This window comes from Homo sapiens, chromosome 18, assembly GCF_000001405.40.
Source record: "Homo sapiens chromosome 18, GRCh38.p14 Primary Assembly".
In the NCBI taxonomy this organism is placed as follows: domain Eukaryota; kingdom Metazoa; phylum Chordata; class Mammalia; order Primates; family Hominidae; genus Homo; species Homo sapiens.
The window spans coordinates 77,993,728-78,021,184 of NC_000018.10; the positions used below are offsets into that span (position 1 = coordinate 77,993,728).

General features: G+C 40.8%; 3 annotated features.

Annotated features, from left to right (window-relative positions):
* Window positions 9,132-9,660: an enhancer, noted in NCBI's record as "H3K4me1 hESC enhancer chr18:75714815-75715343 (GRCh37/hg19 assembly coordinates)". NCBI's record gives its function as "activates a minimal SCP1, AML or CMV promoter by ChIP-STARR-seq in naive H9 embryonic stem cells {active_cell/tissue: H9 hESC(naive)}" and the evidence as "EXISTENCE:reporter gene assay evidence [ECO:0000049][PMID:30033119]".
* Window positions 12,212-12,957: an enhancer, noted in NCBI's record as "OCT4-NANOG-H3K4me1 hESC enhancer chr18:75717895-75718640 (GRCh37/hg19 assembly coordinates)". NCBI's record gives its function as "activates a minimal SCP1, AML or CMV promoter by ChIP-STARR-seq in naive H9 embryonic stem cells {active_cell/tissue: H9 hESC(naive)}" and the evidence as "EXISTENCE:reporter gene assay evidence [ECO:0000049][PMID:30033119]".
* Window positions 12,958-13,702: an enhancer, noted in NCBI's record as "OCT4-NANOG-H3K4me1 hESC enhancer chr18:75718641-75719385 (GRCh37/hg19 assembly coordinates)". NCBI's record gives its function as "activates a minimal SCP1, AML or CMV promoter by ChIP-STARR-seq in naive H9 embryonic stem cells {active_cell/tissue: H9 hESC(naive)}" and the evidence as "EXISTENCE:reporter gene assay evidence [ECO:0000049][PMID:30033119]".

Consider the following 27,457-nt stretch of genomic DNA (forward strand, 5'->3'; position numbering starts at 1 on the left):
TATGCAGCGAAACTCCCGTTTTTATAACCATCAGATCTCGTGAGACCCATTCACTATCACGAGAACAGCACGGGAAAGACCCGCCCCCATAACGCAATCACCTCCCACCGGGTCCCTCCCACCACACGTGGGAATTCAAGATGAGATCTGAGTGGAGACACAGCCAAACCGCATCAGTTCGGCAATAGGTACTGGTCAGAGCCAGAGACCAGGATGACCCTGCCCCTTCCGCTGAGGTCTAGAGTGACCAGAGAAGGGAACTCCAGGGTAAAACAGAGCGGCAACCCCTAAGAACCTGGGGGCACAAACAGCACAAAGACCATTTAATGAAGCATTTTCAGAGTTTAGGATATTTCCAACAAAATATTTTCCCCAAAAGGTATCTTTAATAATATTGGATGCGTTGATTTCTAAGAGGGTCCTACAGAGACACATTCCAGTCACTGGTCTCCCTTTCTCCCATGTATTGGTATTTTCAATACATAATGTCTGGAGCAGAGCATGGAAATGGCCTGAAAATATCCTCTCCTTTGCATACGGGAACACACAGATGGGAGGATGCGTCTTCAGGAGAAGGTGAGCGAGACCTCGGTAGCAGAGGAACAAGTTCAAGACTACACATCTTCTTACTTGTCAGTTTAAATCTCAAGTGAAGAGCGAGCTCACTGCAGGTCTAAAAACAGTGTTTCCTGCTGCCAAGACATGAATGAGCTAATTGTGTTTTAAATAGTTCACCTTACAAAAAATTTTCTTTCTTTATGTGAAAAGAGCTGTGATTTATTAATTTTCCTTTCTATTATTTGCTATAGACTTTCCCTAGCATCTTCCCCACAAATCACTTCTCTATTGAAACCAATACTGAAACCTCAGTGTAATTAGTGTAGATTGCAGGACATGTGTGAAATAAAACAAGCAAATTTAAAATATCTGGGCAGCCCCCTTTCAGGCAGTAATGTAAGGGACCCTTCAAGGAGGATTTTCAGGGTAGCATCTTTCACCTTGGCAGCCAATCCAGCATCAAAGGTGACAGGACTGGGCAGTAGGCACTTAGAAAAGATAGCTGCAAATGCTACAAAGAACTAAATTAGTAAAGGAAACTTAATTATCTTGCCTGCAGCCTCCCTCTGGTCAGTATCCCAATTGAACACAGACAAAACTCAACATTTTTATAAATGCACTACTTCAGACTTAGAATAATTCCTTTCTTAACCATTCATCTAGAACTGCACTGGCCATTTTTTTTTCTGTCCTTTATCTATAGATTTAGAAACAGTAAATATCAAATGACATCCATTAAATCATAAAAACACATGCCGCTTTGTTTTTTAGGAAACCAGTTTTGACTTTTGTTTTTCAACTTAGAAAATGGGAACAAGGATATTTTTAAAGACGTAAATTATATAGTATAAGCAACTAACATACTTATCCAAATACTTTCAGAACATTCTGTGATGTTGTTTTATACACAAGCACACATCAACGTGTGTGTGCCATACTATAGGCATGAAAGAACATCCTTCAAGCCAAGGGTATAAATCTCATTATAGTACAGAAAATGTGATTAAGTCATTTCTGGAAAAGATACGTTAGTAAATAAGGATGATAAAGAAAAAAGTCTATTTTCATTGAGGTTATACATTTGCAAGGTTATAATATTTTCAAAATGTTTGAAACCTATCTTACATGGGAAGACACCCTACAGAAATTACCTTTCATATATCCTCTTCAGTCTTTTCTCTCTGACTTGTTTATAAAACTTTAAATTAAAGATGATAGAATCTTAGATAATGTTAACTGTGTTACTTGCGACTGCTCCATTCTGGTGAGAGGAACAGTTCTGAAACAGTTCTGGAAAGCAGAACATTTCTGGAGAGGGGAACCGTTTTGGAGAGGGGAACAGTTCTGGAGATGGGGACAGTTCTGGAGAGGGGAACAGTTTGGGAGACAAGGACAGTTCTGGAGACGAGGACAGTTCTGCAGAGAGAAGTAGTTCTGGAGAGGGGACAGTTCTGAACAGAGGAACAGTTCTGGAGAGGGGGACAATCTTGGAGAGGAGGATAGTTGGGGAGAGAAGGACAGTTCTGGAAAGGGGAACAGTTCTGGAGCTAGGGGTAGTTCTGTAGAGGGGAACAGTTCTGGAGAAAGAAAGAGTTCTGGAAAGGGGGGCAGTTCTGGAGAAGACGACAGTTCTGGAGAGAGGAACAGTTCTGGAGAGAGGGACAATTCTGGAGAGGAGGACAGTTCTAAAGAGCTGCCAGCAAGAGCTAGGTCAACCTAGGCCAGTCTTCAAAATGTTGGGTCTTCTGTTTATGTTTGTATTCCTCTGAGTTATGGATCCAGCCTGGCATGCCGTGAGTCTCTTGCCATCCCAGCCTTTTCTTAAGGCAACTGCACTAATGCATACTGTTTAATCCTTGAGCCATGGCAAACTATGAGGAAAGACCAAATGGTGAACAGAGGCAAAGAGGAGAAGGCAGAGAAAGGCTTAAAAATGCGTCGACTTCTTACTCAGCCAGCTTATTAAGGGGAAGGCTGCAATATGGATTAAAACATTGATTACATAGGGAAAAAGTATGAATTTTAGTGTTTAGAAGAATGCTTATTAAGAAGACTACCTCTGAACTCTTTCATGTTTGCTTTGTAAAGTTTTAGGTTGTTTATGAAATCTGATAATAAATTTTCATGTCATGTGTTTGAAACAGTTTGTGGAGACTCTTATATAAAAAAAAAACTCTTTAGATCATATTTCTCTAGTTTTGTTGTATCCTGAAAAATCACCATATGCTTTGAGGTCAAAACTCATGGTTATAAATATCAAAATAAAAAATATTGTATATATTTTTATTATAATGTTTTTGTATAGACTGGTGCATAGCCCTGATTTACTTCAAACTAAGAACATGAGTAAGTAGATATATATGTACCCTTGTAGTTATATATAGTTAATGTATATCCAACTCATTGTCATGTTAGCCTCGGCATGCATATTTTTATATATTTTACACACACACAAACCAAATTCATGCATATATAACAATTGCCAAATGCAGCTCTCTGTTGATCTTCAAATGTAGTATTTATCTGTCTGCAGACCAAACTATGTGCTTGCTATATCATTACTAGCTCAGGGGGAATCATTCAGACCAATGCAATTTACTCAATATTGGTCAGTTTGACTCCTGACCCTCGTCCCTCGACATCGTATCCTTGGCAACCCTTGCTGTGTGTTAAGGCAGGATGTGCTTATTGGTCTCATCTGTGACAGCTTGCTAAAGGCTGCTTAACATAGCCTGGTCTTTTCACAGAAAATTAGAAATCCAATAATATACTATATTCTGATCAGATTGATATTTACACAAGGAAAACCACAATTGAGGTGTGCTTTCTAAGCACTATGTCGAAGCTGCCAGGTCCTTTGGTTAGTTCGTTGCGTATACCATGAAGTGTGAGTTATTTTCTTTGTTGTCTTATGGTTGGTGGGGAGAGAAGGATTAGATATGTTTTACCCTCTGTTTGGGAGATCATTACACCTGACATGTATGCACGGATTCATCAGTTGGCAAAATAAACCAGAAAATTTTGTGGAAAATATCCCTTAGGAAATATTATACAACATTTTCATTTTTGTATTTTATTTTTAGTAACTTTTACTGTGTATATTTGAGGTATAGAATCAGGTTGCTATAGTGAGGTCAACTAACATGTTTGTCATTTCACACAGTTATGCAGTTTTTCACTCTCATATTTTAAATGAGCTGATTACCAAGAGGGTGTACTATGTTTGTGTATACCTGAGAAATTGTGGAAATTGGCAAATTTATGAATATATATATATATGAATATGTGGGAATATATGGGAAATAATGCCTGAATTGCGAAGGAAATCTTGAAAATAGCATTTATATAGACTATTGTTGCCAAATCACTCAAATTCAGTAACAGATAGCTGTAACACATTTCCAAGCAGACAGTAGGGAGATTGGAGATGATAAATTATTATGAAATCAACAGCATCATCCCTGCTTATAAAAAATGGCCAATTGTCTCACACATGTCTCCCAAAATCCACATGAAAGAAACCTCCCTTAGCTGATGTTATACAGCTTTTTCAATTTAGCACTTTGTTTTCTCCTTGAGATTTAGAAGTAGTAGGTGTTCATTTTCATGTAAGACAAAATAGGGCTTGAAGAATATCTCCAGAGTCTTTGTAAAGAAGGGTGATGTATTCTCGTGCTCAAAAGCAGACACGTGCCTACCCACACTCAACAACCTACATCCTACAAGCCTACTTCTATTTTTAAAAGTTCAAAAGTAAAGAAGGAAAACAAATGGAAGACAGAGAAAGGAATAGAGGAGGCGACACAGAAGGAAGAAGGAAGGTCAGCTGTTTTTCACTGTAATTGAACTTTCACACTAATGTTTCCTAGAGAGAAGAACAAAACAGTTCCCCACAAAGGCTGTCAACAGCACATTGCACCCTGCCCACCGCAGAAAGTGTGGCCACCAGAATGCCACCCGCAATACCCGTGGTGCTGGTGGAGGGTAGTTTTTATTTTTTTGCATTTAGAAAAATCTAGTTAATATTTACTTGTTGTGAAATCCCATTATTTTGATTATCTACTTATATTGATGATACATTTCTGTGGTTGTTAAACAAATTTCACACTTCAAAAAATCAAGTGTATGCTTGTGGAGGGACCAAGTTACTTTGAAAACAGAGCCTTTTAACATTTTGATTCTCTGCTAATCCACAGACAATTCTTGCATGAATTTGACCATTGTGTATACTTTTTGGTGGGATCTGATGTATATAAAATGTTGGCATTTCATATGCTGTGTATATGAAACATTGGTATTTCAGTGATTCTTGCTTAGCCACATCTCGAATATTTAAGATTATCTCCAAAATGAACATGCTGAATTTTATATTGGTCATTGTCACTTCCTGATTTTTCACATTTTCAGGCTCTGCTCCCTCCAGGCCCACCTGTTGCCTGTCTTCATTCTGGGCCACATACGATTTCTGCCAACAAACAATCACACAGTGGAGCACGCCCACCTGGTGCACAGCTGAAGGCGTGTTCAGTATCAGGAAGAGACGCTGTCTGCCTGGCCATTATTCGCATGGGAGGCAGGGGTGATGTCACTGGGCACTGGGCACTGAGCTGGTCCTGGGAGTGGACCAGGCTGCATCAGCTTTTCTTCAAATACCTTCAACACCAGGACAGGTGGTGGTCACCTCCGTATGCACAAAGGACCGTTACAGGATAAATACAGTCATCATTTACTTTACAGTAAAAATAAAAAGAGATGTAATCCTTTTACAAATAAAAGATGAGAGTGTTTTCAAAAGCATTTCTTACATATAAATAGTGCATTATGCCTCTGTTTTGTTAAGAGTTTTACTTTTCTAGCTGTGTATACCACTGTTATCAGAATTCAATCACAAATGCAGCAAATACCTTTTGGAACTTTTACAATAAATAAGGCTGTGAGAATTTCAGCAAAGAAAAACATGATCTTTGTCCTTGAGGAAGTGATATTTTTTCTATAAGTTTTACTAAAAATTTTATCATTGTCATTATTTTGTTTTGTGCATTACTCATACCCAGGGGGCATAAACATCTTCTGTGAAAGCCTTGCATTGTTGATGCATTTCTGTGGTTGAACAAATTTCACACTTTAAAAAAATGAAGTATATATTTGTGGGGGGACAAAGTTACTTTCATAACAGCTTTTTAACTAACAGTACCCTAAATCCCAATTATTCTGTTTAATCATTTCTGCAAAATAGCCATAAAAAGGTTCACAGCACCCATAAAATTATAGAAATTCTCTGTAAAATCTTACTTTTAGGGAAACCCATATGTGAATCATAAACACATTTATATGCACACAAACACTTGGTCCTAGGGAATGGATGATTTACTTTTTATAGGAGAAAATGACCCTGGAAGAGGTCATACCTTAGAGCTGTGGTTGCCATCGCATCACTGGTTACAGAAGATAACTTGCTTTGAGAAAGTCATGTTACTGGGAAAACAAGTGGTAGAATTTGTATTACGTTACATCAGGAAAGGGCTTTATAAATCCTCAGTGCCAAAGATAGCCAAACTGTTATCTACCAGCAGAGCTTATCCTTAAAATGAAATGTGGTATACAAAAGAGCTGAAGGTAGATCTGGAAAGCCCATCCCCACGTAGGGCCCACTTGCAGGAGCTTCTAACCAGTCACTGAGCCCAGGGCAGTGAGGTTGGCTCAGCAGACCAGCCCTTGACCAACAAGAAGTCTATGGTGCCACAGTGATAAGCTCTATCTAAATGGAGACCCCACTGCATTACTAAATTCATTCCTGGGCAATAAACTAACCCACACTATAGCATTACATTTTTGGAAGGTACCAAAAGCCAGTTCTCCCATCTCCCATCCAGGAGGGTTTCCTCCACACTAAATTGAGAGGTATGCATTTTTCTATGTGGAGAATATGTATGATTATTTAGAATAGAACAGTGTCCTACCTTTGGCCTGAAATCAGAGCACTTTTTCATTTCACATGTAAAAGGAATCTATAGTTTAAATTCTCCTGGGCTTTAAAGTGTTTGTTTGATACTTTTAAAATACAATCATTTAGAAAAATGTCTATTTTCCATTATATTTCTAATTTGGAGCCAAATTCATACATTTTATATAATGCAGCTTGTATTTTTTAATTGCAATTTACTCTTTATTATTGAAACTGCTTGTGTTTTTCCAAGTCAACTGTTAGTCATTTCTTTCTCATTATTTGGAGGTAGAGAGAGTCCTTGATTCATCATAAAGTCTTTTGACTCTGACAGGCCAGGGTTCGAGCCCTTGCTCTGCCCATGGATATCCTGGCAGTGTTACCACTGTACCCTTCTCTCACATGGAGTGTGCAGATACTTACTTACTTCATTGACGTGTGAGCCTACGTGGCACATATTAAATGCTTAAAATTAGTTTTTGCAATAATATACCTTATGTGTATTTTTGTGTCTAAGTATTTTTTATTTGGTGCTTGTAAGCATTCTATCCAGTAAGTCTTTGTCCTTCAAAGTTTTTGTTTTTAAAAATCCCATCTGTGCTTACATTTTATAAAGGCTTGGTTAAACTTTCATTATTAAATAATTGTTCAAATGCACCTTGAAATTTTATTGTTTAACGTGTTATTTTCTGAAAGAAAGGTCGATTTTAGTGATTTTTAAGAAGGAAAATATTAACTAACCACTGCATTCATATTTAGCAGCCAAGCAAGCACATGAAGTGTTACAGTCAAGAACTAAATTGTGTGATTTGGGGGAAGAAATGTTCTTTCATGCTACTTAGCAGCCATTTTCGATTTCACCATAAACTGAAGTTTTTAATTCCTTTTCTTTAATTTTTTAAAATTTCAATAGCTTTTGGGGTACAAGTGGGTTTTTTTACATGGATGAATTATACATAGTGGTAAATTCTGAGATTTTAGTGTACTTGTGTCACCTTAGAAGTGTACATTGTATCCAATATGGAGTTTTTTATTCCTCACCCCCTTTTCACCCTTCCCCTTCTGAGTCTCTAAAGTTCGTTGTATTACTTCGTATGCCTTTGCATATCCATAGCCTAGCTCCCACATGTAAGTGAGAAGCTACAGCATTTGATTTTCCATTCCTGAGTTATGGAGTTGTTATTTTCTAAGTTCATTCCTGGGCAATAAACTAACCTTAGCAATACATTTTTGGAAGGTACAAATTCTGTCATCATAAAATGATTTAGTCATGAAAATGAGATGGAATGCCCTTTTTTTCAGGCTCCAACTTTGTAAGGCTTGCTTTCATGATATTTTCTGTGTAGCTGTCCCAAGCCACATGGGCAAGAAATACCACATGTCTCTTCTGTGCATGGCACTCAGCAGTGATCACAAGAGGAGGGGGGGTTTGGGAACTAAGCACCACAACAGGTGGGGATGGAGAGTGACCCTCGTGTGTTCTGTGTGCAATGGAAAAACACAGGACAAGTAAATAGAGGGTGTGCTTGCTTTCATATCACATGATCAAAATCAAGTATCTTTAGCCTTTAATATGCAAATTATCTTGCTAAAATACCATGATGTTGGCTTATGTTGTTCATGATGCACCTTGAAGTTTAATCTGACATGAAGGGAGATTATGCATTATGTGTGTGTGTTCTGAGACCATGCCAAATGGCTCTGACAGCCCAGTTGAAGTCACCCTGCCCAGAGAACCCCACAGTCAGCCCTCCTGCCTTTCCCCACATCATCTGTTTGTTCCCATTCATGATTTGCATGTTTATGCACTTATCTAACTCATCTCCTTGCATATGGAAATCCTGATGGGTCACACCTAACCTTCTCTGTTTTTGAGACTTCTTTGCAAATGATTGATGATGCCTTGAAATTAAGAAAAAAGCACCTAATAAAAGCATTAACATCATCATTTATAAAAATATATGTCAGAATATATAAAGTTGACATTTATAAGGAAATAATCATTAATCTATTTAAGAGTACAACCTCATGTGTTAACACTTTAGGACACTGGTAATTTTTACTGTTTGCTGAAAATGTTTTCAATGCACAGTCAGTCCTCTGTATTTGTGGATTTTCCATCCATAGATTCAACCAATCAAGATTGAAAATATTCAGAAAAAAATAATTGCATTCGTACAGAACATGTCCAGACACTTTTCTTGCCGTTATTTTCTAGGCAATCCAGAAAACAACTAGATAGCATTTACCCTGAAATTGGTATTATAAATAACCTAGAGTTGATGCTAGTGAACAAGAAGACGTGCACAGATTATGAGCAGACACTACACCATTTTATATCAGGAACTTGAGCATGTGTGGACTTTGGTATCTCCAGGGGTTCCTGGAAACTGTCTCCCATGGATACGGGGGCAACTGTACACATTTGAAGTTTCAAAAGCTTATAATACATTCAGTTAAATTCCCACTTGGGGGCTTAATCATTTTAGACGTTCTAGAGTGTTGCATATCCTGACATAGTCAATACCGTTCTGGTGACTGAGATGGGAATTAATATGTGAACACTTGATTCATTAAGATACTGTGATCCCTACTTATCTTAGAAAATAATGGTGTTCAAAGATAGTAAAATTAAATTAATAGAGTACTTCCATTAGAAAAGAAGCCTTTCTCTTTGTATTTTCCTGTCCATTCCCTTGTTGCCACAAAAAGTTTCCTACAGAGCCAAAGGTTCCCTCTGAGGGCCTGAGCTGGGTGGCTCACAGGCCCTGCAGAGCCTGGGGTGAGCAGAAGCGGATGGGAAGCTGGAGGGAGTTTGCACCACCTGCAAGGAGCCGTATGGCTGGACCGCAGCCCACTGTGCCCTGCACAATGAGAACACAATATGGCCAGATCCACATATTTTTAATAAAAGCTAAAAATCCATACATGTATATAAAAACATCCCAATGTTTAAATGCTAGTTGAATTTTTTAAAAAAATTATATAAGCCACACAAAACCCTTCTGGTGGGGGCATGAAGACCTTCCGTCTGTGGCCCCTAACGTTTGCCATGAGCGGATGGCTCGGCTTCAGGCAGTACACGGCAGTGGCGTGCCCTGGTTCTCTCTGACTCTGGACTTGGTCCTGAAAACAGGCCTTTTGCAGGTTGAAATGCCAAGCGGCCAGCCCTTATGCCCTGACACAGGAGGAGGAGCTTCCTCACTTGAGACACTGGGTCCTTTGCGGGTTGAAATGTCAGGTGGCCAGCCCTCCAACCCAGACACAAGGGGAGGGGCATCCTCGCTTGAGACAGTGGGTCCCTGGTAAGGGGCAGGAACAGGAGCCTCAAAAATGCAGCACACCAGGGTTAAAACTGAAAGAAAAAGTGGACTATAGAAAAGCCCTAAATTTTAAGCAGTTGCCGATAGATTTTCGCTGTGGCAGGAAGAAGCAGACAGTGCACTTCACATTCACAGGGAGAGAGAAGGCGCCTTCAGTAGGAAACTCCGTCCGCTAGACCAGGGTTTTGCAAGACAGTGTCATCAGAACTTGCTATTCATGCCTGAATCCACATAACTGTGTTTAGACGATACGTAGATTATTCCAGAATCGTATGTGTGTGTGCGTGTGTGCATGCTGTGTCAACGTATCTTCTTAATAACCTTATCAAGTACCAGGCGCTAAGACAACCCTTTCGGTATCACTAAGAAGCATCTCCTGACAGCTTTGCTCAGCACCCATCTCCCTGTGATCCTGTTTCCTTACAATTTCAGTTGTTAAAATAAGAAAAAATGTCTGATCCTTTTCATGGTTTTAAGTTAACTAAACTAATTTATATAGTCAAGTTTTTTTAAGTTTTAACATATTTTGATTCCATGTGATTGATTTCTAGAACTTTGATCCAACTAAGCAGTATTCAATTTTAATTTTTATCTATCTAAATTTGGAAATTTCCTTATTTGTTTGATGATTTCAATTGTTGTTACAAATAACAAAATTAATATAACAGTCATAGGGGTAATATAATCCATCATTTTCTTATGTATTTTAATATGGAAGATTAGAATGGAAATTATGTAGCTATATAGAGCACATTTCATGTATATGTATGACTGGCTAGAAATTAAATTAATTGGGTATTTTATAAATTCTAAAATTATATGTACATCGTTTTAATGCTATACATTAGAGTTGAAAGTGTAAAACTCTCTAACAATTACAATATTTTTTATTATTTTAGCTAAAAAGAAATGCCAACAGGCTGCTATTTCAGCTGTCTCTTTGTTCGGTACTGTCCAAATGAATTCCCAATAAAATAAGATTGCTTTTAACAATTCCAACTTGTCTAAGAAGATTGAACTGGGAGATTTTACCTCTTCATCAACACAGGCACATTTTCTCTGTGGGCCATCCAGACACACATACAAAAACAAACTTGTAATGAGCGGGTACTTTACCAAGCCCTTTCTCCATCCTTCATTAAACGACAGAAAATTGCTCTTTGCTGGGTTTGTCAATGCAGCTTTCCCTCCCAGAAACCCATTTGTTTCACAGGCTAGCACCGAATATTGCAGGGATTTGCAGATTTTAAGTGACAAATTGTGCCTAAGTTTACATTGCTCTCGGAGTTGTGGTTTGTTTTGGCTTGTTGGGGTTTTGTTTGCATGATTTTTAAGGAGCTGGGACCTCATGACAGAGGGTGGCCCTGTGTCTCTCCCCCACTCTGCAGACTCTGGTGTGTCATGAAGACAGGGGCTTTGCTGTGTGATCTTTTCCCTCTGGATAAGGGTGTTTAAATGGCTCTGTTCTCTGAAAACAATCTCTATACAAGGTGTGATATATGTGGCTAGTTTAGAGTAAAAGCACAAACAAAATGGGAAAAGTGTTCTTTCATTGCATTCCTTCTGTTCTTCATTAAATCTTATTGAATTTGTCATCTTTTTTTAATTGCACTTGCACGTAATGGTGGTGAAAAGGTTTCATTTTCTTTTTTTTAATGAGTTAAAAACTTAACCATTTTACACCTTCTGCAAGAATAGCTCTTTTTGAGCATTTCAGACCAAAAAATCCCACAAATAACAGCAACGACGTAGCTTTGCCAGGCAACACTTTGCCGTGTAGGATTATAATCGATGTAAATCATTGAGCTTTGCTGCTTCGTAACATCAAGGGTGTCATGTGTGGGGCTGTGGCTTGTTGGAGTGATCATTATTTATTCATACCAAAAGATCAGCCAAACACTGTAATGCTGGAAATTCTATTGTAAAGGTGAGTGAATAGATGCAATGTTAAGTGTACTTGGTGGGGTTAAAGTGGACAGAAGATGATAGCTTTCAATAAAGACGTAGCGGAGCTCAATTGCAACATTTACATATGCTGTGAGTTGCCAACCAAATAAATGGAGACGGGCTTTGGACCGAGCCTGGAGCAGCCCATGCCCTTTAATTGCCATTTACATTGCAGAGAATCATTAATTTCTAATTCACCTATTATTCACTCTCCTTAGTATGCTATGTCGATGTCTGTATGGGGGCAATGAAATAAATGTGGTTTCCACCTTGCTTTAGCTACTTACATTTTGTGACTTTTTTGGATGATTTTTTTTGACCTGAAAATGAGTGGAAAAGACTACTTTCCACTCATAGCAAGTTTAGGGCTCTTGTTTAGATATGATTTATGATGCTACATTAACCCTTCATTGACCTAGAAATGCCCTAATATTAAAACGTTTGACACATAGAAAATCAAAAGCCGTTTTATTGAAAGTGCTACTGTCCGCATCATAAGTTTCCTCAATGCGATGCCACAGTTACACCATCAATTTCCAGCTACTATTGAGCACTGTATTGAAAATCGAATGGACAGAATCCTTTGTCATTTCTGTCCCAGTGACCAGCAAATAGCTCAGAGAAAGCCTCTCCCTCCACATCACTTCAGGCATTTCTGCAAGGCACATCCAAGGTAACACATTAGCGTTTATTTGAGGGTGTGAGGATGAATTGCAGAGGGTCCTTTTGTTTACTGAGGCTTATGCAAAGTTGTGACTTTGTTCTTCCTAATTTCTTACCAGGGAGTTCATTTAAATGAAACGGGATGAGGGGTGGATACTTCTTTTATTACATAAGAATGTTTACCAACTTCAGGGCAGAAGGTATGAAGTTTCAAGAGGAAGTGTGATTTAAATAGAGCTAACATTTTACTCAATGATGTTATGAAAATTGAATTGGAAAGGGCATATTTGTGGATGGGTAATGTTCATCTAGTAAGTACCAGCATGAATCTCCTTGGTCTTAAAGTAGCGAATGAATCATGGATGCTGGAGGCTCTCCCTACGCACCATCCCTTGAAGGAGAGAAGCTTCCGTGGTCTCAACCCCGGGCAGTGTCCTGAACTAGTGCAGAGTAACTGGAAAACAAGTTTCCCTGAACACAGTGAATGGGAGTTGGCACGGGGTTCTGCTCTGAGTAAGAAATCAGGGGAAGAGGGATTGTCCCCACAGTCAGGAGTATCCAATTTAAGCAAATCATCTGCACAAGGAAGAGGAGTGGGCTTAATGAACATTCAGCACACATTTGACCAAAAAAAAAAAAAAAAAAAAAAAACACTGTCCGTGGATGGAAGTCCAGAAAATACTACACTCCCCATGACGAAAAGCTCTGGCTGTGTGACAAGGCCTGTGTGGAAACCCAGCTCCCTGAGGTGCACGGTGCTGTGGCAGGGCCCTGCAGGGCCAGCCTCATGCATCTCTGCTTCCCACCGGCTTCCACAAACATAAAGCCCTGTTTGTATTTGATTGGCCATGGATAACATGCAAATGCAGGGGTGAAAGAGCACTTTAAGACCTCAGGCATGAAATTTAAAATTGAATCCTGTCAAATCATAGGAACTCAAGTGTAATTCTCATTGTGTGGATGACAGCAGGCTAATTAGTAATACCAGTGAGCGTCCCCCTTCACCTTTAGGGTCACAAGCCAATGTACTTCCCTTGTTTATTAGCGTAACACAAAGGGTCATTATGGTAATCCCACCCCTCCATGGGGTCTGGGTTTTTTTTTTTTTTTGGTCTCACTTTGATTCTGGGTAATAAAACTTTGTGAGTAAATGTATTAATGTAGTACATTTACATTTATAAATGTATTAATGTAGTACATTTACGTTTATAAATGTATTAATGTAGTACATTTATGTTTATAAATGTATTAATGTAATACCTAAATGTATTAATGTAATACATTAATGTAAAATTTTTTGAGTAAATGTAATAATGTGGTTTTGACAATCTGGTAATTAGTATTTATACTGCTTTTGAAAGTATTTGTACATGAAAATTGCTAACATGGTACTTTACCAAATACTGCTGATTGCCTTTCTTGCTTCTCTTATGTAGAAGAGAGAAGGTAAGAGGGAGGTAGAAAGAGCAGACAGGATCCCGGGCACTCTTTGTTTACCAATTATGGTTTCTGTTCAGAAATTAAACTCTCCAAGTATAATTACTTCCCTGTATATCTTCTGGCTAAACTTATCCTTTTTTTCCGTACTGTACTAAACTGCTTCAGCTATTTTATAAAAGCTAAGTATTTCACTAAGCTCTTGCAATATTGAAAGAATCTATATTCTGAGAATTTGAAAACATGTCAGCCCACCTAAATTACATATTGATCAGGTTTAATTGCATGCCACCCATCAGTATTAGGTTTGAAAATTCATAAAAGAGAAATAATGTACTCTTTGTGGATGATTACTTCTGGGGCATTTAAATGAATTCCATCACTTAACCTGGGCTGAGACAGATTATTGAGCCCTGCCATCTAAGCGTTCAAAGACCAGTGCAGTCGAACAACTGTTTTCAACTATCGTAGAACAGCAGAGTGCAAACAATATAAATTTATATAGATTTTCTTTTAAGGAAAATAGCAAAGTAAAACATTAAAAGTAAACATTCATTTTTCAATTGCTTCCTGAATTACCCTGCTCATTGTCTCCTTACATCAGCCTGCATTTTTCATTCTTTTTGGATTCCAGGCATCCTTTTATTTCAAGTAGTAATTCACATCTTAATTAATATACAGTAATCAAAGAGACAAGCAAAGATAAATGATTCACAGCTTAGTTTTATTTGTTAAGGTTAATTTTTTATGCCAGTGCATAAAAGGGTTTTAATGCTGATTCTTCAGGGGACAAACCATTTAATTTTCATAAAAAACTCCGAAGTTTTGCATTGTCTGTGGTGAATACTCTTTCAAAGCTTTCTTCTCACGAAGGTCACACCACCTAAGAAAATGAGTTCATCATTAGTTTTCAGGATGCTCTTTACATTTAGAAATTATGTTTGCTGGTATTGGTTGTGTTTTGAGAAATTGTGCTTATGTATGTTTTTCTTTACAGATTATCAATACAAAGTAAAAAGAGCCAGTTAAAATCATTGGGCTTACTTGGATAATAGTTTAAGAGCTACATTTTATTTAGACACTTTGAGGTAATAAATATCTGTGAGCATAATTAACTGTCTTTATCTAGGTCTAGTCCTGCAGATGCTGCTTTAGGACCTTCCGTTTTGTCTTTTATTAATGTTAACGTTGAGTTTAGCCTGGGAAATTATCTGGGTCTGTGAGGTATGCCAGAAGGACTTGTTTTTAAATAGTGGATTATTATATATGTAGCCACCTAACAGATGCATCCCTTTGTCTTCTCCTTGGCACAAACAAAGCATCATGTTTTATTCCTTATGAAGCAAAGGTAACACTGGCCAAATGAACTCTCTGACAGATCTGACTTCATTGTTTATTTGACTGAAATCACAGCGTGGGAGGTAGAAAATGACTGTTTACAGGGGCCAAGGGGCATGGTTGTATCTTGAGTCCTTACTAAGGTCACAATTGCATCAGGATCCTCTAAGAGAACCTGCTGTCTACTCTAAGACAACTCAGAAAGCACATCTCAGTGTTTCTGCCTCTTGGCTGATGGCAAATGCTGGTTCTAAAGCATGGGAAGAAGGATCGCCTGTACTTAGCATCCAATACTGTGAACCATATCGGTATAGGGGTGTGTGTTGATGTTGTTGTTTTGCTACATTCTTAATAAGAAAATGAGGGGAAGAGAGACATAAATGCCACACCACGATTCTCCTGTGGGAGGCCAGCTTGCCAGACTTCCCACACATGGAGCCAGGTGACCATGCACTCAGATCAACTAAAGTTATTGGAATGTCCTCAACATTGTATGAGAGGAAGGTGGCTTTACTTTGCTAATCTACTACCTATTAGCTAATTAGTTATGCTGTACAAGAACACATTTACTTAAATCATCCACTGGGCAAATAACTTTTTTCCAAGACTCTACTGAAAAACAAGAAAAAATGGTATACCCAGGGAACACTTGGAACTCTCTTTTTTTAGGACCCATGAAATTCTTCTCTGGTAGGTTGTCATTATGAGTCAAGGAAGAATTGATTTTACTTTTGGCTATTCCAACACAAAGCACAAAACAAAGTATTCATGAAAAGAAATTATCTTAGATCATAACTAGTTATAGGGTGAGGGATGTCAGGTGGAGGAAGAGGAAACTCTCTTAATAATAAAAAGAGAGTGAGAACTGAAAATGCACAAAATAAAACATATGCAAAGACGTGAATCAGGATGGCCCTTAAAGAATTCATGCTACATATGAATTATATTTACATAAAGTGGAAATATGTTATAAAGGACTTTGATTGTTCTTTAAATTGTTGGTGGCCCAGGCAAGGTGAGATACAAATGAATGAAGAGTAAACAATGCTCAGTTGCTCATTGGGTTGAAGGTTATTCAAAATCTGAGTCCACTGGATGAAAACCATGCATTAAACCATTCTTGTTACTGTGGTGGTGGTGGTGGGTGATGGTGGTGATGGCATTGGTGTTGATATTGGTGGTGGTGATTGTATTAGTGGTGGTGGTGTTGGTATTGGTAGTGGTGGTGGTAATGGTAGTGGTGGTGATGGTGATATGGTGATGGTGGTGGTGATGGTGATGATGGTGATGGTGATGGTGGTGATGTTGACTGTGATGGTGGTGGTGGTGATGGTGATATGGTGATGGTGGTGGTGATGGTGATGGTGGTGATGGTGATGGTGATGGTGGTGGTGGTGGTGATGGTGGTGGTAGTGGTGATGGTGGTGATGGTGTTGGTGGTGGTGGTGGTGATGGTGGTGGTAGTGGTGATGGTGGTGATGGTGTTGGTGATGGTGGTGGTAGTGATGATGGTGGTGATGATGGTGATGATGATGTTGATTGTGATGGTGGTGGTGATGGTGGTGATGTGATGATGGTGGTGGTGGTGATGGTGGTGGTAGTGATGATGGTGATGGTGATGATGATTGTGATGGTGGTGGTGATGGTGGTGATGTCATGATGTTGGTGGTGATGGTGATGGTGATGATGGTGGTGGTGATGGTGATGGTGATGATGGTGGTGATGGTGGTAGTGATGGTGGTAATAGTGATTCTGAACTGCCTCTTAGGGGCTTAGGGGAAAGCAATGTGCAGAGTTGAAGTCACCTCAGCAGGGTGCCTGGAGATGAGACCAGTAGAAATACAGAAGTGATAAACAGAGCCTCAGGGGAAGGTTCTCCACGTAAGTAGAATGACCAATCTCCAAAAGAATTCATTGGCATTGAAACAGATTCTAACTGTTCAGAATTTTCTAAACGTTTCTCAAAAATGAAAATTCTCCCACTTGGGAAGGCAGCAGAGAAGAGGAGAAACAGCATGCACTCTGATGCATGAAAGCCAGGCATCCAAAACCTGGCTCTCACTAACTGTGTGAGCCTGGCCAGTTTTCTTAGTTTCTCCAATGTCATGCTCTTCATCTGTAAAACAATAATCTTAATAGTTTGGCCAAGTTTATTATTTAGCTTAAAATGGATAATATATGTAAATTGCGTTGTCTAGCATTGGTGCGTATTAGGCACTTTGTAAAAATTTCCTTTCTCACCATCTAATCAATCAGTTATGAGATGTATTACAGAACCTAGACTGGAGGCGGATTATAGAAGGAGTTGGTTTTCCAGTTGCCTATAAATCTATAAAAAAAATTAAGAAGTCCGAATTGTGAAAATAGGGTGGGGGAACGGGGGAATCAAGACTAAGGGAAGCTCATGCTCTTTGAACATCCCATTTCCTTTTGCCTCTGGGGAAAATTTATGTCACTTTCTGCTTTACAACTCTTTGCCACCCTCAGAATCTAATCAAATCCAAGAACTTTCTGTGTAAAAAGCAGCTCGTCTAATGACGAAATTAAGGACCTTTACTTAGTTATACCAATGTCACATTGGAAAATAATATTTGAGACAATGAGAGGAACATGGTGGGCAAATTATTAAACGATTGTGAAATTTCTCTTGGCTTGATTTTAAATTCTAAAATATAAGAAACAATATTCTTAGGCAGTTTGTGCAGTTATTTGAGGATATTTTATATAATGTACCACTTAAGTAATGTTTTTCATATATACTGTGTCCATTGTATTTGTATTAATGGCTTATTTGTTTGTAAGTGAGGGAGGCCTAAATCAAATTAGCTTTCAAGAAAGATACTTTTTTTTTTCTTTTTTTTTTTTTGAGACAGAGTCTCGCTCTGTCGTCCAGGCTGGAGTGCAGTGGCGCGATCTCGGCTCACTACAAGCTCCGCCTCCCGGGTTCACGCCATTCTCCTGCCTCAGCCTCCTGAGTAGCTGGGACTACAGGCACCCGCTACCACGCCCGGCTAATTTTTTGTATTTTTAGTAGAGACGGGGTTTCACCGTGTTAGCCAGGATGGTCTCCATCTCCTGACCTCGTGATCCGCCCGCCTCGGCCTCCCAAAGTGCTGGGATTCCAGGCGTGAGCCACCGCGCCCGGCTCAAGAAAGACACTTTTATTAAGGCAAGTGCCCAAACTGCAACTTTCAGAAGGGAGCAGAAATGCCTGCCTGTAAAGAACTGAATATTTCCATCTTCTATCGTTTCTGGGGTTTTGAATTGGAGAATAGTGGAATAGGAACCCAGATTTTCCCAACCTGTGTTATCTTTCCTTTTGGTTGAGGATGGTAAAAGATATTATGGTTTGGACAAGTATCCCCAGGCAAACTGCATGGTTGGAGTGGGGAGAGAGGAGTTTTAAAATGAACTGCATACTGGAGGAGACAAAATAGGAATTATGTTTGCTTGTTTGTTTTTTTTGAGACAGAGTCTCTCTCTGTCACCCAGGCTGGAGTGCAGTGACATGATCTTGGCTCACCGCAACCTCCTTCTCCCGGATTCAAGTGATTCTCCTGCCTCACCCTCCCAGGTAGCTGGGATTACAGGCGCCCACCACCACACCAGGATAATTTTTGTATTTTTAGTAGAGACAGGGTTTCACTGTGTTGCCCAGGCTGGCCTCGAACTCCTGACCTCAGGTCATCCATCCACCTCGGCCTCCCAAAGTTTGGGATTACAGACATGAGCCACTGTGCCCAGCCAAAAACTATGTTTTAACCGTAAGTTATTTCATTCTCTTTCACAAAAGCCACCAAGCCAAATATTGTATAGTTACTATAAATTAAAATATTAAATTATGATAAGGCTATAAAAGAAGATTCAGCATGTATTTAGGATTTTGTAATAGAACCTGAAGAAATCTGACCAAATATTTAAGATTCAGGGAAATACTCAAATTCGTTTCAGCACCATCCATCATTTATTCTCGGTGCTCTACTCTTATCCTTGAAGTTCTTGGTGCTGTGAAGTTTTGCAGTAACAATCCTCTCTATCTGGCAGATAAATCAATAACAAATAACTTATTCCTTAGTACCTGAGAAGCAAAGCCTACCAAAGTCCTAATTTGATTTCTGGTGTACCAAATTAAAGTGTGTCCACAATAAACCAGCCTCAACTGTTCTCTCATGAATTCCGAAGTGGCTGAGGCCTTCAGGATACTGTAAATATCTCTCTTCTTGAGTGACTTTCTTGGATAAATGTCGTTCATGTCTCCAACCAGCCACAACCACAGGCTATGGACCTCTTACCACTGCTTTATTGCATAGCTCATAGTGGCTAAGTTTGGAAAATAATGCTAAAATCACTAGCTTTGGGGAATAGAGGAAAATAGAATAAAATAAAATAAACTCTTTAGTGTAGCCAATGATTGAACTGGCATGTGATCATAACTACTCTTACTTAATTGAAAGTTCTATCAACATTTAAATATCCTTGTTATGGGTCAAATTGTGTCCCCTCAAAAAGATATTTTAGAATCCCAAACCCTAGTACCTCAGAATATGCCCTTGCTTTGAGACAAGATCTTTACAGAGGTAATCAAGTTAAAATGAGGCCACTGAGGAGGCCCTAGTCCAATATGACTGAGGTTCTTCTGAAAAAAAAAAAATGTGGACAGACAGATGTGGACTATCAGACACTCTTTAGAATATAGAGGGAAGAAGATGTGAAGAGACGCAGGGAGAAGACAGCTGTCCACAAGCCAAGGAGAGGGGCCAAGAACGGGCGGTGGTCCCGCAGAGCCCTTAGGAAGAGCTAAGCAGATGACACCTTGGCTTTGAAATCTCAGCCTCCAGAACGGTGAGAACATAAATCCCTGTTGCTCAGGCTCTTCCACTTTGGTACGGCATCCCTAGGAAGCCAGATAAACCCTGGATGAGCCAAACATCCTAGACTAGTAGGTAAAATATAAAATACTGGGATAAACTCTGTGACCTGAAAACGTGATGCTTTCCTAAACTTACCCAACCACAGAGCGCTTCTATGTTGACATATTCTTTCATTTAATAAGAAACACGTCATTTTCAGGCCAGGCGCGGTGGCTCACGCCTGTAATCCCAGCACTTTGGGAGGCCGAGGCAGGCAGATCACGAGGTCAGGAGATCGAAACCATCCTGGCTAATAGGTGAAACCCCGTCTCTACTAAAAATACAAAAAAATCAGCCGGGCGTGGTGGCGGGTGCCTGTAGTCCCAGCTACTCGGGAGGCTGAGGCAGGAGAATGGCATGAACCCGGGAGGTGGAGCTTGCAGTGAGCCGAGGTCGCGCCACTGCACTCCAGCCTGGGCGACAGCGAGACTCCGTCTCAAAAAAAAAAAAAAAAAAGAAACATGCCATTTTCCAAAATGAAAGGATTGCATGTGCACAGTAGAATATTTCAGACCCCGGATGTCATAAAGAAGAATGCAAAAATCACCATAAATATCAGGATCTGGGGATTCTGGCAGCTTCTTTCTCAAGACAATTTGTCTTTTACACGTGTGATGCTCTCTCAAATTACTATAAGAATACAAATGAAGCTCTTTTAATGTTTCCATTTGTTTCCTTTGTTAACACTGTTTCTCAGAGATGGTTAATTGTGGCCTGTGTATGTGTGAATGTGTGTGGTGTGTGCACAGTGTGTGCACAGGAGTGGGTGTGAGTGTATGCACATGTACACACAGCCCTCGCTCTGTTACCCTACTAATTTTCCTTTTCCTTGGCGAGCTATTGATCCTTGGTTACTGATTCCCATTCACATTTCAGGGTCTGGATTGATCAGCATTGGTCTCTAGGGTTCATTTCCCCAGCTTAGATGTGAGTTCCCATTGCCCTTTCCGGGAATACTTTGGGGCTATTCAGGAAAGAGAAGGGATATGTGGGTGGGTGGCTGGGTAGCATTTCATACTTTTTAGAACGCACAGATAAAATTGACTCCAGGTTTCGAAACACCTGTTTCCTGGAGATTCCCAAATACTTGTTTCCTGGACATGTGATTTGGTTTAGAGGGTGTTCTCCACCCCATCCACACAGTGGAGTCCCTTCACAACCTCCCTTCTATGTGAAGGCATTTTCTGGGGCTGTAGACAGTTTGCCGACCATGAGCATCACCCTCCGAGCTGTGTGGGTCCTGAACAGCCCGGCCGGCCCTGCCCTGAGTGTGTCTGTCCAGAACCCCTGAGCCACCTTTCTCCAGCCCCTCTCCCTGCACTCCCTGGAGTATTGGAAACTGAGTTTGGGCTTCTGAAGAAAAAATTCACGTTTGGAGAACTCCTCTTCTTTTGCCTTTGTGGAGCTGTAAGTTTCTCTGTGTTTCTGACTTTTGTTTCATACCTGAACTTTTCTGCTTTAAAGCTTCCAGAGTTTTCTCATCCTTAAATTTTAGCAGTTGAAGATTTCCTGAATTCCTAGTACTTCTATGTGTGACTCTCCATATGTGTGTGTATCAAATAATAATAGATTATACATAGAAGTTAGTTAATTTAACTTCAGTATATAAGTTAATGAAACTATTTTAAATTAAAATATATATACTTGTATACATAATTTATTATGTATAATTTATTAGTCTCAAATTATATAGAGAGAATAAAATAATTTATAATATACTTAAAAATCTATTTTTTCTAAATTTTAATTTTGCATTGTAACAAGGTTTGGAGAGTAAAAACCAGCAAGCACGTGTGCCTTCAGTGTCGCCTCAGCACAGAGCCCTTCCCCGTAGGCCAAAATCAAAATGATCTCCATTCTTACTGAAACTCCCGTAAATAGAAATTGCGGCTACAGTACATCATTTATTATGTAAGCTCTACTTTGCAGTAGGAATAAGTTAAAGAGGGGGAAATTATTATTGCTATTATTGTTAGGGTATGAAGGAGTTTAGCTGACTACTCCAAGAATTCAACTGATCAGCTTACTATGCAGTGTGCTCATGCACAACTCAGTCCCTGCAGCCAGGAGGGGTCCGGGTTCCCTGGCGTGCACAGCAGCACCCCACGGCCACTGGAAACCCCTCCAGACAGCGCACCACAGTGTCCAGCAGGAGCCCAGCCACGTCCCCCCCACCAGAGCCAGACTGCAGGAGGGGCCCACACCAGAGAGCCCTGAGGAAAACGCGCCTCTCAGTTGATATCCCATCGGCACTGACCCACACTCAACGTCGATGAGCCTCGGAAACAGGATGCTTGGACAAAGAAGCCACGTACAAAGGTCCACACACCTCACAGTCCTATTCATATGAAATGCCCAGTCCACTCACTGCACAGTCCCGTTCATGTGAAATGCCCAGTCCACACACCACACCGTCCCACTCAAATGAAATGCCCAGGATGGGCAAATCCACAGAGACAGAACATGAATTAAAGTGGTTGCCAGGTGCTGAGGGAGGGAAAAGGGGGAGTGAGCAGTGGCACCTGAGGGGCGTGGGGTTTCTTTTGGAGGTGACGAGAATGTCCTGGAGTCAGGTAGTGGTGATAGTTGCATCATCTTGTTACTACACTAACGACCACTGACATGTACACTTTAGAAGGGTGCATTTCATGCTATGTGAATTATACTCAGTAAAATCAAAGTCTGTTCACCCATGAGAACTGGGGTGCTGCCTAATGATTCGAGCACTTCTCCTCTCTCTGCCTTGACAAGCTCATCACCCTAGCTCCACATCTGCACGGAAGTGTGCCTGGCAGACACAGAGTGAAGAGAAAGCTCTCCTGGACTTCTTATCTTTCCCCCAGGAAAGCTGTGGTCTTTGTTGTGCTGAGTCACTGGCCCCGCGAAGCACCTTTCAGGGGTGGCACCCAGCTCCACCACATGCACTGCACAGTTAAACCAGCACACAGCTTCTTGAAGCTTGGATATTACCTGAGCTTTATATTGCTTGGATATATCTGAAGCTTGGTTGTTGCCTGAGCTTTATGTTACCTGAATATACCTGAAGCTTGGATATTGCCTGAGCTTTATATTACCTGGATATACCTGAAGCTCGGATATTGCCTGAGCTTTATATTACCTGGATATACCTGAAGCTTGGTTGTTGCCTGAGCTTTATATTACCTGGATATACCTGAATCTCGGATATTGCCTGAGCTTTATATTACCTGGATACACCTGAAGCTTGGATATTGACTGAGCTTTATATTACCTGGATATATCTGAAGCCTGGCTATTACCTAGATATTACCTGAACCACACATGGAAGCAAACTCCTGGAAATTGGCATGATTAACTTCACTCTGGAATGTCGAGATGTGATGCTGAGATTGAGAAGTGAGTACACGAGGTCGTCAGCAAATGTATTCAAAGTTTCCACGAGAACTGTTACGGATAATCCAGCTCTGTAAAGCTAACCGGAGAAGCAGCTAGAAGCAGGATAAAACAGCACCAAGTCCTCTTCTTGAAGAAAGACAAAGCACTCTCCTCAGAGGCTAGGTGATCTTGTTCTATTCAGAGCACAGGAGACAGAATGGAAGGAAAACACATCTGCACGCAAATCAAGCGTCTCCCCTCCTTGGCTCTCACCTTCTCTGGTGAAGGTTTCCACAACCGGGAGGCACCTGTTCCATGGCGTGGCCAGCGTTCCACATGGCACACTGTGCGTGGAAATGAACGAGATCTACCTTGGCAATGACGGATGCCATGAATGAGGTTTTGGGTGCTTTGTTCCTTCTTGCTTGCAAACTACCTCGATTAGATTCAGTCTTGGTGAATGACTTGTAATTCGTGAGTTACGTGCTCTGGGAAATCTAAATATCTACAAGCTTATTTGAAAAATGTGCATTTATTTCAAGGAGACAGAGCTATAGTTACAGATACTATACTATTTTCTGAGATCTTTCTTGAAGTGTAGCGATGACCAGAACAATTTGGGGATCACCCTGAAGTGATGAAAACCCTTCAAAGAGAAGATATGATGGGAAATATGAAGGAATCAAAGTCCTAGACAGAGAGCTTCTCAGCATCCTCACCTCCTTCCCTGGGTGGGAGACGGATCCCCTCCTATGCACCTAGTGGTGAGGGGGTCTCCATTCCTCTGAAGTCCTGCTGGCTGAGCATGGATTGCACCAGCGTGGGCTGTGGAGATGGACAGCAGTGTGTGAGTCCCATAGCCCTCCGCCCAGGGGAGGACCAGCCGCACCCCATGAGGGCTGCCCTTGGGAGGGGAGCAGGGTAAGCCAGCTGGGCTGTGGGGGGCAGGCTTTGTATGACAAGAGGCGGGGGCCCCTGGCTCCTGCCCACTGGATTACGTGACTGGCTTGTTTGAAGAATTGCACAGACTGGCAGGCTGAGGAAGAGGTGGGGGCGGCTGGTCGGGCTGATAGGGCTCTAGCTGGGTAGGGGCTTACCTGCGGGAAGCAGAAGAACTCACAACTAGGCATTTGGGCCCCGCGAGGCTCAGGCAGGTCAAGGCAGCCACAGACTCTCAGGCCTTCCAGTCCAGGTGGGGCCAGGCTTTGTCCCCACCGAGAGCCGTTTTGCACCCACTCCCTCAGTGCCGCTTGTTCCCTGGGGAATGAGAGGCTGCTCTTCACCCTGCAAGGCCAGGCAGAGCCCGGCGCTGGGGCTGTCCTTGGAAATGTTTATTGTGAAATATTTGTTGAAGCGAATACAGAAACAAAACTGGGATCTCTAAAGTCCACACGTGACTCACATCCCAGGACCCTCTTCTTACGTGTTCAAAAGTGTTGTCCCCAGGCCAGAGGACGGAACGTGGGGTCAGCATGACCTCCCCTCTGGACGTCCCTCAGCCAAAAGTTCATTTTAATTGCAACTCTCAGAGATGTTCATCTAACCGGGTGCTTTTCGCCGTTTGATGGCATTTTAGACCCTCGCCTTATCTATTCCATTTAATCAGGAAGTGCCCACCCCTGGACTTTCTCCTGTGCTTATCTTCCAATCACAGGAGCTTTCTATGAGCCCGATTCCTACAGACCCTGCTCTGTGAGGTCACTACCACCCGCTACACAAAACATCAATTTACATATCGTTTTAAATGCGTGAGTGCTGGCATTGACTTCTTAACTGGTGGTAGGGTGAGAGCTGGGTGGCATATTTATCTTTAAGACCACGCTGAATAAACAACACTGGGTGTGCTAATGCATGAGTGAATGCTACTAGGTTAGGGCTTCTGCAGAGGAGACACCTTTCTAGTAAGAGATACAAGACTGGGGGTGCCAGACCTGTGCCTGTCACCTGGGAAGACCAGCGCATGAGTGGGCAGGGTGGGCAGACTCCTGGTGCTCCAGGCACACTGTCCTCAGTGGCTGTCTACTCCCTCTTGAAACTGAGGAGCCTGAACTCATAGCAGAGTAGTTTTCACTATCGATCGATGACAGTGTAAATGCATAAATAGCTTTTTCCCCAAGATTTGCAGAAAAATAGATCTCAAGACTGCATTAGTTTTGCCCTTTACCCGGAATCATAAATGCATTCTTGAATCTGTGTCGGCAAATCTCGAAAAATAAAATTATTTCAAAAGTATGCGTGGCTGGCTGGGTGCAGTGGCTCATGCTTGTAATCCCAGCATGTCAAAAGGCTGAGGTGGGAAGATTGCTTGAGCCCAGGAGTTTGAGACCAACCTATACAACATAGTGAGACCCCGTAGTGCATGCCTGGAGTCCCAGCTACTCGGGAGGCTGAGGTGGGAGGATCACTAGAGCCTGGGAGTTTCAAGGCTGCAGTGAGCTATGATTACACCACTGCATTTCAGCCTGGGCAAGAAAGTGAGACGCTCTCTCTCTCTCTCTCTAACATATATGTATATGTATTTTATATATATATACATATATATTATGGGTGTTGTATGTACATGAGGCCATCATCCCTTAGAAGGCAAATATATTCATGGTGGGCATGAAATTGTGAGTGCCACTATTATTAGTTAAAGCACAGGTTGAGTACTAATGCTGCCCAGATACTTCTGACACGTGATTTTCGCTAGATATTAGGATAGTAGATGCTATATAAATACTATAGAATAATATCTATATTACAGATGCATGCTTTGGTGTTATGATGACCTGAATTTGAGTCCTGAGTCTCCAATTCGTCTTGTGGCTTCTGAAAATTGGTGCCATATTGGGTGGATAGAGCTTAAGCCATAAGTTTAGTCAGAACTGAATGAGAAAATTATTGGAAAGTGGGAGCTCCGTGTGTGCACCTTGCAAACAACATTATGATGATTTAGGATAACAAATAATAATGTCATCTATTGCACCTCCAATGTATTAAACATCAATTTACAGTTAACAAACTAAAAAATAACATTATGGAACTTGTCTTTCTTTTACACCTAGCTGATCGGCTGCACAGATCTTAGCTTTCATGCCAAGCTTTAGTCATCCCCTCAGTCTTCAGTCTGACGTACTATGGGAGCTAATTCAGCAACAGTCACCATCCATTTGCCCCTTTAAATTCCACAGCCTCCTCCCAAACCATGGTTATCTGTTCAGTTACTTTCAACTCTGCTTGCTTATGTCTGGTTAGGCTACAGGCACCTATCTAGAGAAATACGGCATTTCCATCAAGCAGCCTGACCTTCTCTCGGTGAGCTACACACCGGCCAGGTTTCTGCTAGTCATTCGGTGAATGTGGAATGTCTGGTAGCCACCTGGAGGTTTGTATGCTTTTCTCCAAAATGAGAACTAACTGATCCCTTGAGATTGTCCAATTCTAATACTACACGATTCTAAGGTAAGAGTAATTTTCATAAACTCACTACTGATGAATAATACTGGTGGTTTTTTTTTTTTGGCATTGAAGAACAGGCCTTTTGTGCCCTATGGTGAGTGACTCGCAGTTCCACCTGGTTCCAAAAGGGACTCGAGGCAGTGAAACCTGGCAATACCCAACAGAGTCCACAGGAACACTGAACCCAGCTACATTCTCTCTGTGCTGCCCCATAGCATGAGAAACACTTTCATTAATATAGGAATTAAGAAATCTTTGAAGACATTCTACTGTACTTATATTTAACTCTCTAATGTTTATAAACATAAAATACATACTTTATGCTTCCGACAACCTTTGCTTTCTACTGACATTGCCAATACAACTTCATCTAATGCATTAAAAACACAACCAGATTATTTTTCCAGATTCACATCCACTTTTACTCAAATTACATAGAATATGGGGGCAAATGTGTGTTTCCCAATAATTAATTTCCTGGATTTTCAGGACAAATTCTGCTGGAGAAACCTGGTGGAGGACAAGCCCATGCCTTTGGTGAA